Raw genomic sequence first — 15,266 nt, 5'->3', positions numbered from 1 at the left:
GTGTGCAATAGCATTATATATAAAAATACAAACCCCTTAATTTAAAAATATTTTATTGCCAAAAAATGCTAGTAATCATCTGAGTCTTCAGATGTAGATTTAGCATCATTCTTAAGGGCCCTAGGGTCTCCAGAGTAGTCAATGAGATGAGCATTGGCTTTAACTTAAAAATCACCAACTGCATTATCTCCTGACAAAAGAGTCATCCTGTCCATTGAAACTGTCAAGTCAAGCTTTGACTTCTCCTCTCTAGCTATGAAAGTCCTAAATGGCATCATTTTCCAATAAAAAGCTGATTTGTCTATATTGCAAGTCTGTTGTCCAGTGTAGCTACTTTCATCACTATCTTAGCTAGATGTTCTGGAAAACTTGCTGCAGCTTCTACATCATCACTTGCTGCTTCACTTTGTACTTTTATGTTATAGAGAAAACTTCTTCCCTAAAATCTCATGAACCAACCTCTTCTGGGTTCCAACTTTTCTTCTGCAGCTTCCTCACCTTTTTCAGCCTTCATAAAATTGAAGAGAGTTAGGGTTATTCTCTTGATTAGTATTTGACTTAAGAGAATTTTTTGGCTCAATGGATCTTCAAACCAGACGACTAAAATTTTCTCCATCAGCAATAAGCCTGTTTTGCTTTCTTATCATTTGTGTGATCACTGGAGTAGCACTTTTAATTTCCTTTAAGAACGTCTCCTTCACATTTTCAACTTGCCTACCTGTTTCATACAAGAGGCCCACCTCTTGGCCTATCTCCACTTTTGACATGACTTTTGCAGTAAGTTTCATCATTTCTAGTTTTAAAGTCAAAGACATGTAACTCCTCCTGTCACTTGAATACCTACAGGCTATTGTAGGGTTATTAGTCTGCCTAATTTTGATATTGCTGTACCTTAGGCAACAGGGAGGCCTGAGGAGAGGAAGATGAGGAAACAGCTGGTTGATGAAGCAATCAGAACACACACACATTTATCAAGTTCCCTGTCTTATATAGGTAGAGTTCATGATGCTCTCAAAACAATTGCAATAGTAACATCAAAGATCACTATTCACAGATCACCATAACAGATACAGTATTAATGAAACAGTTTGGAATATCATACAAATTAGTAAAATGTGACACAGAGACACCAAGCGAGCACATGCTGCTGAAAAAAATGGCACCAATATACTTGCTCAAAGCAGGGTTGCCACAGACCTTCAATTTGTAAAGAATACAATATCTGAGAAGCACAGTAAAATGAGGTATGCCTGTATTTAGGGTAAGAAATTACTGAAAAAAAAAAGGGCTCATTTTTCTTGGAAATTATTACTCATCAAAAATTGCTTGGAGGAGAACATTAAAGGTTATGTGAGCACTGGATTTCTTTTAAACCTCAGAGATACATGGCTTAGCTACTGTTATAAAAACATTTAGGGAAGTAAAAGGATAATTTTCCAATTCATCAAGAATAAAAAGGCTTTTTGTCACTGACTACTTTTGAAAATTTTGGCTACCCTTCTTTTTTTTACTGGAGGAATAAAAACAAGGAAAAATGATGTTTATGGCTTTTCCAGAATTTTAGAGTAGTTTCTTCCATAGCTGAGATCATTCTCTAATGGTATTTCCATTCAGAAAAACCCACAAACATTTTGTCTGTCTCTTTCTCCCTATGAATTTTAATGGAAAACAGTGTCAAAATAAAAAGAAGCTCATACGTAAGCTGTTTTGAGATTGCCATGAGTTAAATTTCATGGTGTTTTCAGTAAGCCTTCGCAACTGCTCTTTGAATTTGCCCTAAAGGACACTAAAGTTTCATTAATTATTAATGACTTTTAGGGAGGGGAGTGTAAAAATAAATCTCTTTTCCACTAAGTACATTACAACTGACATACCGCACACAGCCACACATGCCTGACTAATACCCACATCTGGCTTCTGAATCAAGAGATAGGACTCTGTGTGGAATGCTGCAGGGCGAGTGAAAGGGTCGTCTGTGCTCCTGTCACACTATACGTCCTCCTCTTTCAAGGGTTTCTATTACACCCTAATGCTGTCATTGAAATAAAAATAACTTCAATACTTGTTTATGTCACAACTGCACTACTCAGTTCTAAGGCTTTTCAGATCCCAAACTACTGCAATCAACTTTCCCATATTTATCACCATAGACCTGGTTGATTTAGTGGCAAAGACATCAATATTTTTACCCTAATTGTGTGAAATCCCGTAATCAAAACTATTTACATATGATATGCTTACTATTGATTTGTACACATTTTTATGCCTTATACTAAACAACGTAATTCATTTGGAAATGAAAAATAAAACATGTTGTGCCCATACTCAGCAAGTATACCCAAAGCACAGCAGTTAATACTATGGTCAGATAGAATCAAGACTGGCATGGGAGCTGGTTAACACACTTCCCACAGATTGTTGCAATGAAAACGAGGATCCCAAATCATATTCATTTTCCTGAAAATTTGTGGTTCTAATGGTGCCATGTAATTCTAAATATTACTTCATCACATTATTTACTTTCTATTATAAATACGAAATTAAATTTATTATCCTTTATAAATGCTACACATTCTGGCACATTTTAGAATTCAAGGATTTCTTTCATTTCAAGGTATTCAGAAAGTGACACCCACTCACGTCATACCAAAATGTAATGGGGACAGTTCCAGGTGCCAAGCCAGACAGCTGAGAACATTTGCACTGTGCTTCCAGCTGAAGGTGTTTAAGTGAAGCTCCTTATCAGTTGGAAAAGATTTGTGCCAGTGGTTAGATCTGGGAGCTCTGGAGACCAGATGTGGTTTTGTAGTCCACATTGAACTTGAGCTAAATATAGGCGATAAATATAAGTCAAGTACAGATTCCAATACAGATTTACAAATTAGAAGCCATGAGGGAACCAACAGCTACTGAAGATGACTCATCTGTTGGAATTTAACTTTCACTAAATACTCAGAATAAAATGAGGTGATATTCAGGAAGGAAATCTATGAGGCAAATAGATGAAGAATTTGCTTATTGCTAAATTTGTACTATAGGGGAAGTGAAAATGTGTTTTACAGATTTTTTCATGCAAAGATTTTCAATAGCAAAGCAATGTATTATAAGATAGTCTAGTTTCTAATTATTAAATATTAAGGTGTTTCTTTCAATAAAAGAAAGAAGCTTGTTTTTGTCAGAACATTTTGGTGTTTTAGAGCTAGAAGGAAGTCATAAGCTCCTGTGACCCAGCTCCATTATTCTACCTATTAAAAAGCTGGGGGTGGCCGGGCGCGGTGGCTCACGCCTGTAATCCCAGCACTTTGGGAGGCCGAGGCAGGTGGATCATGAGGTCAGGAGATCGAGACCATCCTGGCTAACACGGTGAAACTCCATCTCTACTAAAAATACAAAAAAATTAGCTGGGCGCGGTGGCAGGCACCTGTAGTCCCAGCTACTAGGGAGGCTGAGGCAGGAGAATGGCGTGAACCCGGGAGGCGGAGCTTGCAGTGAACCGAGATCGTGCCACTGCAGTCTGGCCTGGGCGAAAGAGCGAGACTCCATCTCAAAAAATAAAATAAAATAAAATAAAAATTAAAAAATAAAAAAAATTAAAAGCTGGGGGCAAGAAGTTAAGAGACTTGCTTATACAGCAGAGAGCAAGTGCTAGAACCGAAATTAGATATTTAATTTTATGCTGATTCAATCTATCTCTGTGGTCACTGGTAGCCCTAATCTACTACATAAACCTTTCACTCAATGTATTATGGATTCTGGAGTAAGTTTGCCTTAAAGAAGCAATAACAATTATAGACTGGAAGTATATAAGTCCCAAAATGTAACTTAATGCCCTAACTCTTAGTGTGATAGTACTGGGAGATGGGGCCTTTGGGAGGTAATTGGGTTTAGATGAGGTCATTGGGTAGAGCTCACATGATGGGATTAGTGGCCTTATAAGAAGAGGAAGAGATGCCAGACCTTCCTCTCTCCACCATGTGAGAATACAGTGGGAAGACGGCCTTCTGAAAGCCAGAAAAGGAGCCCTCACTGAGAACCCAACAATGCTGTCAAGCAGATCATGGGCTTCTAGTCTCCAGAACTGTGAGAAATAAATGTCTGTTTAAAGACACTTACTATATGGTATTTTGTTACAACTGCTCAAGAAGACTAAAACAGGCAGTATTGCCAGAAAAGCAATACTGTGGTTGCCTAAAAGCAGCATGAGGAAGTCTCCTGCAAGTATCTACTAAGGAGCACTCGCTTGCCTCCTTTCCTTCATCTCCCAGGAGTCACAAATTTGATTGGCACTGTCACTCTGGGGCTGTGCACTGTATCTGCTGACACTGACTGATTGCATGCCCTAAAGCATTTGTTCCTGGCATAACCCAGTTCTCTGACAAATATTGCACAATTGTTGAACACCAATAAAATTCTGTCATGAGAGGTAAATTAAATCTCATCTATTTTGAGCTACATTCAACAAGAAAAATATCTTCAAAAGAATTCTCTTGACTCGAGTACCTAAATATTTTTTTAAACAAGTCAAGGTCTTTTTTATGTCACTTGAATTTGAAAATACAGTACTTTTAGATTGTTTATGGGAAATAACTTTTCCTGACATATAAAGGTAAGACTATTCTAGTTTATGTACTATAATCTACAGTTAAGTGCCTTAGGGATTTGAAAAAAAAGTTTTGAATATATATTTTCAAAATCTTAGTGATAGCATAGAGATAAGTCATTTTATAGAAAAAAACTTACCAGCGGAGTGAATGTAAATAGAAATGAGAAATATTTCAAGAACTGAGCCCTGGTATATTCCAAGGCTAAGGTGGTCGGAGAGAAGAAGAGACCAGCAAGTGAGATTGAGAAATAATGACTAATGAATGAAGAGGAAAACCATGTCCATGTGATGTCCTGAAAGCTAAGTAAGCAAAGGAAAAAAAGAGTTTCTAGGAGGAATGAGTGATACAATGGACAAATGGTGCTGATAGGTCAAGTAGGATGGGGCCCAAGAATTAATCATCATATTTAGCACTGCAGAGGTTTATATTTAATTATAAAAGGGCAGTTTGGGGGAGTAATAGGGATATGGGGATAAGGCCTCACTGAATTGGGTTAATAAGATTCAGTAGTACTGGGAGTCCTAGTGAAACCACTTTTCCAAAAATTATGACAGTGAAAGAGATCTGACCTAACAAATCCTCATCTTGCCTTTAACCTCCAAGCTGCCCTTAGTCATTCCTGGGCTTGGGCCAAGAAAACTTTGGGAGAAATTTAGTTTATAGTTTAAATGATAATAGCCCTTTCCCAAAACTAAATCGCCTTTGTAAAACTAATGAAAGAGACCACCAGATTAGGAGAATGAGAGGAGCTATTCTGCTAAGAGGTAGTCATAAGTGATTACCAGCTATTATTCCAGATGTCACAAGATTTGCAACTTCCCCAATTACTCCTGTAGATATCACTACTGTAGAACCTAAGATTGGCCTTTTGAGATGTCTTTTCAGGCTTTTGCATTTCTGACAACCGGATTACCCACCAACTGGTCCTGTGGCCCCCCACTCAGAAGTGGACTCAGCGCACAAGGACCATTTTCCACACCCCTATGTTTACATTGCATTCCTGGGCAACCCCTGGCCACTGCCAAACTATCTTTGAAAAACCCTCCACATTGTGGGGGAGCCTGCTTTGAATAATAATAAAACCCCAGTCTCCCTTTTAACCAGCTCTACATGTGTAAAGCTCTTTTTCTATTGCAAGCCCCCATTTTGATAAATCGGCTCTATGTCAGCAACAGACAAGATGAACCCATTGGGTGGTTATACTAGTTAGAGCAAGTAGACAAGAGAAAGAAATAAAAGACTTCCTAACTGAAAAAAAAGTCCAGTTGTAATTGTTTGCATACCAGATGATCTTATATTTAGAAAAATCTAAAGACGCCACCAAAAACAAATAGAACTCAAACAAATTCAATAAAGTTTCAGGATACAATATCAGGATACAAAAATTAGCAGCATTTCTATATGCCAACAGTGAACAATTGGAAAAAGAAACCAAGAAAGTAATTCCATTTACAGTAGCTACAAATAAAATAAAATGACTCAGCATAAACTTAACCAAAGAAATGAAAGATCTCTGCAATTAAAAACTAAAAAATACTGATGAAAGAAATTAAAGAGGACACAAAGAACTTGAAAGATATCCCATGATCATGGATTATAAGAATCAATATGGCTAAAATATCCATACTATCCAAAGCAATTTACAGATTCAATTCAATTAATATCAAAATACCAATATTCTTCACACAAATAAAAAATAATAATTCTAAAACGTATATGAAACCACCAAAGACTCAAAATAGCCAAAGTAATCCTGAGCAAAAAGAACAAAGCTGGAGGCATCACATTACCTGACTTCAAATTATACTACAAAGCTATAGTAACCTAAACAGCATGGTACTGGCATAAAAACAGACATATAGACCAAGGGAGCAAAATAGAGAACCCAGAAATGAATCCACCCATTAACAGTCTATACATTTTTTGCAAGGCTACAGGAGCATGAAATGGGGAAAGGACAGTCTCTCCATTAAATTGTGCTGGGAAAACTGGATCTCTGTAAGCAGAAAAATAAAACTAGACCTCATCTCTCGCCAAACAAAAATCGAATCAAAATGGATTAAATACTTATATCTAAGACCTGAAACTATGACACTACTAGAAAAAAAAACATTCGGGAAACTCTTCAGGACATTAGTCCAGGCAAAGATTTCTTTAGTAATTCCCTACAAGCACAGGTAACCAAAGCAAAATTGCACAAATGGGATCACAACTAGCTAAAAACCTTCTGCACAGCAAAAGAAATAGTCAAGAAAGGGAAGAGACAACCTGCAGAATGGGAGAAAGTATTTGCAAACTACTCATCTGACAAAGGATTAATCACAAAAATTTACAAATAGCTCAAACAACTCAATAAAAAAAGACAAATAATCTGACTTAAAAAATGGACAAAAGTCTGAACAGACATTTCTCAAAAGAACATGTACAAATGGCCAGCAGGTGTATGAAAAAAATGTGCATCAGACAAATGTGAATTAAAACTACAATGAGGTATCATCTCACCCCAATTAAAATGTATTTTATCAAAAAGACAGGCAATAACAAATGTTGTGAGGAAGTAGAGAAAGAGGAATCCTCCTACACTGTTGGTGGGGATGTAAATTAGTACAGCTAGTATGGAGAATAATATGAAGGGTCCTCAAAATACTACAAATAGAACTATCATTTGATCTAGCAATTCCACTGCTGGGGATATATCTCCAAAGGAAATCAGTATATTGGACACATATTTGCACTTCTATTTTCAATGCAGCAGTGTTCACAATGGCCAAAATATGGAATCAACCTAAGTGTCAATCAGCGGATGAATTGGTAAAGAAAATGTATATAGACACAATGGAATACTACTCAGCCATAAAAAAAGAATGAAATCCTGTCATTTGCAATAACATGGATGGAACTGAAGGACATTATGTTACGTGAAATAAGTCAGGTACAGAAAGACAAATATCACATGTTCTCACTCATATGTGGTAGCTATAAACAAAATCAGTCATTGAAATAGTAGAATGATGGTTACTAGAGTCTGGGACTGGAAGTAGAGAGAGGGGATAGAGATGTGATGGTAAAGGTATAAAAGTACAGTTAGATATAAAGAATAAGATCTAGTTTTCAGTAGCATAATAGGGCAACTATAGTTAATAATTTAATTTATTGTATATTTCAAAATAAATAGAAGGGTGGAATTGGAATGTTCCTAATACAAAGAAATGATAAGTACTTGAAGTGCTGGATATCCCAATTGCCCTGATTTAATCATTACACATTGTATGCTTCTATCAAAATATCACCTGTACCCCATAAATATTTACAACTAATATCCACCCATAATATTTATTTTTTTCTAGCAAAGTAAAATGAAATGATGTTAAAAGAGTATGTAGTGTATCTGGTTTCCATAAGACAGTCTAGATTTGCACTTAACTTCAATCATTATCAATAGCATTTCCTTTTATTCTCAATAATATCCTGATTACCCAATGAGTTAAGTCAGCACTTAGTTATCAAATAAAGACCAGGAGAAAATAAATTGGAGATAGCAAATACAGAAGACTTTCTGAAGAAGCTTTATTGAAAAACAGAGTAGGAAAATAGCTAGAGATGACTTGGATCAAGAGAATCTTTTTGTTTATCTTTTAGGGATGAAAAATTTACTGAAGTATTTTATGTTGATGGATGTGTTCACGGAGAGAAGGAAAATTTGATACAGCAGCACAGATAAGTAAGTTTCTGAAGCACCGTATTTTGGTAGAGAGGAAAAGATCTGATGCTCAAATGGAGGAAGGGGCTCATAGAGGAGCGCTATTGATTTAAGCAAGTGTGTAGAGGGCAGAGCACATTTATTAGCTGAAACAAGAAATGCACTGTAGAGCTAAATATGAGAGGTAAATATTCTGTAGATAGAAGACAGGAAAAGGAGATGTCCAGGAGCTGGTAAAAATGAATGAGATGGGGGAAATAAAGGAGCATTGCTGGGTAGCACTATAGGCCACTTTGGTCCAGATCATATATTACTTGAAGGATTAACCAAGCCTCTCAGGTAAAACAACAAAGAATGGAACAAAAGAGGTAAAGAGGTGGAAATGAATTTAAGTGCCCTTACAAAGAAAATTTTGAGGGCAATGAAGGAGAAAAATCAAAGATCCCTCCAAGTTTCTTTGTGTTATGAGAACAGTAGACCCTGTATCTTAAATTTATGAAAGAGAGATCTTATATTAGGTAATAAATTTGGTTTAAAAAACATTTACTTTGCACTACCCTTCATACTTGTAGAAAGTTGTGTTAATAGTTGCAAATGTAAATATAAAAATTTGGTAGAGATTAAGATAAAGAACATAGGCTTGACTGGCTCATAAAAATGATTTCTGAAAGCTCAAAAGTAAATATTATTTGAAAAGGAAGAAGTTACACATCAGTTATAGAATAGAATGCTGAAGAATTTGTATAATTTAGTTGTATCCAACATGTAGCATAAACTCTGGCAAACAATAGACATCCAATAAATGTTGACTGAATAAAAAAATGGATATATCCAACTGTACAGATAATAAGAACATAGCAGGAGAAAGTGGGTTGTAAAGCCTTGCCTTTCAAGAGGATTTATGGCCAAATGACATAAAGGAAAAAGGAAATATTGTAAGTATAATAGAATAAAAATGTTTTTTTTAGTGCGTTTTTAGAAAAAAAGTAGTAGTATTTTAATATGGCTGACCGTTCTTGATTTCCTTCACTCTTGTCTCTTCAGAGACTTTTAGTAGATACATTATAAGCACAGATTTATGAATAAAATTAAATATCTGATATGCAGAAGAAGAATATAGAAGGTTACTTTAAACAAATGTACCACTGAATGTGATCTTAAAATACTTCCTGCAGAAGGGGAACATCACACACAGGGGCATGTTGTGGGGTGGGGGGAGGGGGGAGGGATAGTATTAGGAGATATACCTAATGTAAATGAGGAGTTAATGGGTGCAGCACACCAACATGGCACATGTATACATATGTAACAAACCTGCACGTTGTGCACATGTACCCTAGAACTTACAGTATAATAAAAATATAAATAAATAAATAAATAAATAAAACTCTTAAATGTTAAAAAAAAAATACTTCCTGCAATACAGAGATCATGCTATCAACCTTGTAAATTGAATACTAAACATTGTTATAATTAAACTTATACATGCATCCACAAAAAAACTAAAGTTGCAAAGGGATATTATAACATCAGTAATATTAAATAATGAATTGACATAATTTATAATTATATTCAAAATATATGTGTCTGCTTTCTAAAAAACCTAAGCTGATGGTTATATCAGCAGAGACCAACTATGATTTCTCATTTGGGTAACTTCTAACAACTGTTTAAAATAGGTTTAACACTTCACAATTTTAGCCAGTTATTATTCTCTCTCCATACAGAATTCATTTTCACGTTCCACAAGGAGCCTGGCTCTGACTGGCACAAATGATTGAATAAGCTTTAATTATACCCCTCTAAGCCTGAGTGGTTCTATAACTACAACTTAACAAGAGTATATTCTTTCATCCCACAAAGACTTGCTTAAGACTTCACAGAGGCCAATGAGGCTTTTGTGTAAGGACTTGCAACAGGCAAATTTTATTTTATTTTTAAGCAAAATATTCCTTGGTTCACTACATCTCGCTTTTCCCCACTGTGTTATTCTCTTGTTAATAAACAACTAAAATTTCATCACCGCAACTTTTTCCTTAAACTACATAAGAACATTAAGGTTCTCCAGAGAAAGACATGGCCTCAAAACCTTCATAAAGTCATTTTTGGCTCTGGGGGATGAGCATTAAGAATTCCCAGGAGAAATGGGAAGACAATGTCACTCTCCTCTCCCAGCTCCCTTGAGAATCTAAACCTCATCACTGAAATCGCTTGAGGACCTATCTGGCCGACTGAAGTATCCGTTACTTCTTTTGAACTGTGTTCAATATGTTGAGAAGTGTATTTGTTTTCAACACTGTTTTTTTTTTTTCACTTTTCCTGTATATTATGTGATTATTTTTTATCTTACTAGTACAACCAAGTGAAATGCACTTTAATATTAGTCTTTGACTAGGAAGGATCAAAAGGCAAAACAGTGACAAAAAAATCCTTCTTTGATGTATTATTTATGTTTCTGAAGGGAAAAACAAATAGTGAGCCTGAAATAGATTACTTAGTCTCCAGTCCTAATCTCTGACAGGCTGCCTTTTTCAATAAAACTCAAATATGGAGTTAGAACAAAGATGGCGTACAGAAGACACTGAAATGGTTTTCAGGATCTCAATCTTCCCAGCGGATGTCCACACACCTTACTCCTATCAGGTTCTGGTTAGCAGTGCTTGTTAACAGGCTTTAAAACAATAATTTTAAAAAAATTTGCAATGTAAATTGATTTTTAAGCAAATATTTTTCGTTAATTTCAGCAATTGCAAAATCTTATAGTTAAAATACAGATTGAATCCAGCCTGATAAAGTCGATCTATGCATTCCTATGGCTTCTCAACCAGGAAGCAGAACTGTGACATAGTTGAAAAACAGCTCTTTATTTGTTCCATTGGGCCCATTTTTAAAAATCCTCATCAAATAAGCATATTTATTCAAACTTTGGTGCCTGGTCCACTTTAGAGACAATCTATGCAATTCTTAAAGCACGTGGTTTCAGAAATAAACTGCATTTCAACTGATCTTGACTCTAAAGAAATAGCTCCCTCTATGCCCCAAAATTTACTTATCTGTGAGTCAGAGCTACTAGACTAGTCAGGAGCTATCAGGGCAGAAAGTCAGACAACGTATCAAGAGACAAAAGACTCAACCATCCCCCTTCCTAAGCATCTCTTCATTTCAGTGCTTTGAAAGTAATTCTGGCAACCCGGAGTTTTAGATTTTATCTCTTTCCCTTTCCTCAATCTCCTTTGGAGAGGTGTTGGCAAGCTAGCAATGGTAGTCTAAACAGAAGAAGTGCTAATTGTCAGTGAAGGAGCTTTGTGTGGGCAAAGTCTAACATACAAGGTGAAAAGATTAATTCACAGGATAGTTAAATGTCTCTAAATAGGAATTTTCTTAATTGCATAATGAATCTCAGATGTTTGCATTACAATGAAAGGAGAGAAATTTGTAATGATAGCATCATTACAGTAGAACATAGGGCCATTTCAAGATAGAGAAAAAAATGTTCATTTATTGTCTTCTCTTATAATTATATTGCAACAATAATAGTAATTATTAGTAATAATAGGGCTTAATTATAATTATACTCACTTTATTATTCAGTACTATTACTATTATTGCTAGTACTTACTCTGAGCCATGCTAAAGTCATTTTATGTATTATCCCACTTTATTGTCGGAATAATTCTGAAATTAGGTACTATTATAGTCATTCAATTTATAGACCTAATTTTATAGAGCTATAAGAATTTCAAGTTAAGTAGCAGAATCAAGCTTGAAATTTGCACTAGACAAAGTTAAAGAGGTAAGGAAGACTTTATTTAAGGCTCTTGCAGTAGGGGAGGCCAAAACTAAGTCAAACTGAATTCCTCTAAAACAAAGGGCAGGAGAGTTTTTAAGAATTGGGGTGAGAAAGGTATCTTAGGCCACTGTGCTTTCTAATTGGTTCTACTCAAAGGAAAAGTAAATTTTCTCATAACTTCATGACAATAGGTAGTTTTACAACTTAGAGCAAGGAGACCTCTGAAGTTAGGCTTCTACCTTGTCACAAATACTGGGAGATAGGGGCTCTATCTTCTTGGATAATTATCCAATAATTATTATAATTATAATTATAATTATAGTCATGCCTCACTTAATGATGGGGATACATTCTGAGAAGTGCATTATTAGGTGATTTTGTCTCTGTGCAAACATCATAGAGTGTACTCACACAAACACTGATGGTATAGCCTACTACACACCTAAGCTATATGGTGTAGCCTATTGCTCCCGTGCTGCAAACATATACACCATGTTACTGCAGTGAATACTGCAGGCAATTATAACACAATGGCAAGTATTTGTATATTTGAATATGTCTAAACATAGAAAATGTACAGTAAAAATATGGTATAAAGGATAAAAAATGGTACACAGGTATTGGATACTTCTTATGAACGGAGCTTGCAGGACCGGAAGTTGCTCAGGGTGAGTCAGTGAGTGAGTGGTGAGTGAATGTGAAGGCCCAGGACATTATACTATTGTAGACTTTTATAAACACTATACACTTAGGCTATACTAAATTTATAAAGAAATAAATTGTGCTATGACATGATGACAAGTACAATGTCACCAGGTGATAGAAATTTTTCATGTCCCTTAGAATCTTAGAGGACCACTGTCATAAATGTGATCTGTCATTAACCAAAGTGGCATTATGTGGTACATGACTTTATTTCAAAAGGATGACCCCCAGGTTCTTGACCAGTCCTGGATTGCAAAACTGGCAAGAAGCTTTTAAAAAACAGGAAGAGAAAGGATTTACAATTACATGTTTTCTAAAGTAAATTATCAGTCAAGAAGAAGGCTGTCTCAAGTTTAGTCTAGGTGAGAGGATAAGGCCTTCTTGGTCATTAACAGAGTCAGAGCTCATCTTTACCCCCATGTATGAGAATCCATAGCAATGGAAAAAGAAACTAGCAATGAAAAAATATTTTTAAACTTTCTATTCATTTCTTTGCTTCATTGAGTTTCCCTTCTCCCATTCTTAAAATGAGATTTCTCTAGATCTGTAGATTACAAATCACACCTCTGAAGCCCCAGGTATTTAAGGAGCTAGGAGATGCCAAAGATTGGTGGGAAAGTTTGACGATGGGTAAGAAATTCTATGGACTATCATTTTGCTTTAAGGAGGACAAATTTATAATGTTTTCAAAATGGACTTCTGCTTAAAGCTTTGTTAGAAAAATAAAAACACAGAGGGGAGTTTTCTTGGCAAGACCAAGTGTGATAAGCACTAGTAATTTCTTTAGAGGAGCTGCCATGTATGGCTGCATGGCTACTGTTATCACAAACAGCTCATGAAGACATGATCCACTTCCAATCATATATGTAACATGAAGGCACGAACGTCATACACCTATCCTATGCCCCAGCCCTGCACACATACATGCACATGCTCTTTTACACCAGGGCGTACCAACCATTAATCTAAGAATAAGGCACAGATCCATAGACAATCCCATCTGCCTACATGGTATTTAAAATGTATTTTTTCAATAAATTCAATGCATCATAATATTCTGCAGCACAGAAGAAGACCATAAGGGACACAGAAACATTTTTGCCAGATTGTGGTAGGATAAAATTCTAATTTATACAATATAAAAAAGGGTGGTGAAATTCATAAAGTCTTCAAATTACAATCACTTATATTCCGAAGTTACATACATTGTGGCTTCTTTGCAATATAAAATACTCTTTATAATAATTAATTTAACTCAGTATCTCCACTTCCTTTTAATATTTCTCAAAATTAATATTCTGTGGAATATATACTATCATCATTGCACTAGATATTTTTCGTAGGATGCTGGAAATTCTTAATCATTTAATTTTTTAATTGTCATATTGTATTAGTAGAGAAAGTAAGGTTTAGCTGGTTAGTGCTCTGTAAAGACAACAATGTTCACGTTTGAGCTTGTTGTGTTCAGAAAACATCTCATAAAGCAGCAAAAATAAAAAAATAAAGTCATAATTATTGACTCTCATGATTTCAAGAAAGCATGTCGGCATGTGGGAAATGAGAAAGATTAAGTTATAAAAGAAAAGACCAATTTAAGGTGAGGAGACAGTTGAATGCCAGGAGTTTGCAAAAATGGAGTTTTCTTGGAATGAGATCTTAGCCTTGGCCACATTCATGCTCACTGTCTTCACTCTCCATCACTGCCTGTGGAAATGCTTGCAGGCTGTACTTTTTCTGGCTACAGCTATTGCTTTTAAACATATATTTTCTCCCCACTACCCTATCGTGGAAGAGAACAATTGCATGTCATTTACCTTACTTGTGGCTAGTAGCAACGAGAAATATCTGTAAAAAGGAATATTTTTAAAAACAGGCTATGTTTATAGTACTCTGCAATGCATAGACTATTTTTACGCGGCCAATTCTCTCCCCACAAAAAGGGAGTACTTTTCAGCAAAGGAAATTTTATACGTAGAGTTTTATAAATTAATTGTGTGCTGTTAATCTCACTTTCAAGAATAAAAAATAAAACAACTCCAATTTATAGCATTTGACAATTTCCATCCCGTAAATAGTCTCATTTTTGATGATTTTATCAAGGTAATGTCACTGGAGACAGAATTGGAAAGGAACATACTGCATCCTGCAGTGGCACACCACCAGAATTATTGGCATGTACAAGATGGAAGGCTCAATATATTCATCCTTCACTGAACGATTCAGCACCATGTTGCTTTAAGCAAAAGAAGTTAGTACATAGAAATTTAGTCTTTGGACTTAATCACTCCCTTAGAATTTGATAACAGAGGGCATTATGTTTAAATATGGGATATGAGGCATTTTAATGTTGTTGTTGTTTTGAGATGGGTCTTGCTCTTTTGCCCAGGGTGAAGTGCAGTGATAATCATGCCTCACTGCAGCCTCAATTCTCAGGCCCAAGGAATCCTCCTGCCTCAGTCTCCCAAGT

General features: G+C 35.6%; 2 long non-coding RNA genes across 2 annotated transcripts in view; one reads left to right on the top strand and one right to left on the bottom strand.

Annotated features, from left to right (window-relative positions):
• Nucleotides 1-15,038, top strand: part of LOC105372174 (uncharacterized) — a 36,647-nt gene extending 21,609 nt beyond the window's left edge. Inside the window, exons 2-3 of the long non-coding RNA XR_935590.3 lie at nt 8,244-8,325; nt 14,900-15,038. This is a non-coding gene — a long non-coding RNA (uncharacterized LOC105372174). The remainder of the gene's footprint in view (nt 1-8,243; nt 8,326-14,899) is intronic.
• The window catches only part of DSEL-AS1 (DSEL antisense RNA 1), a 383,074-nt gene that overhangs the window by 297,336 nt on the left and 70,472 nt on the right, over nt 1-15,266 (bottom strand). The gene's annotated exons all lie outside the window — the stretch shown is intronic.

Source organism: Homo sapiens, chromosome 18 (genome assembly GCF_000001405.40).
Source record: "Homo sapiens chromosome 18, GRCh38.p14 Primary Assembly".
NCBI lineage: Eukaryota > Metazoa > Chordata > Mammalia > Primates > Hominidae > Homo > Homo sapiens.
The sequence above is the reverse complement of the archived record's forward strand: the minus strand, read 5'-3'. Positions and strand labels throughout refer to the sequence as shown.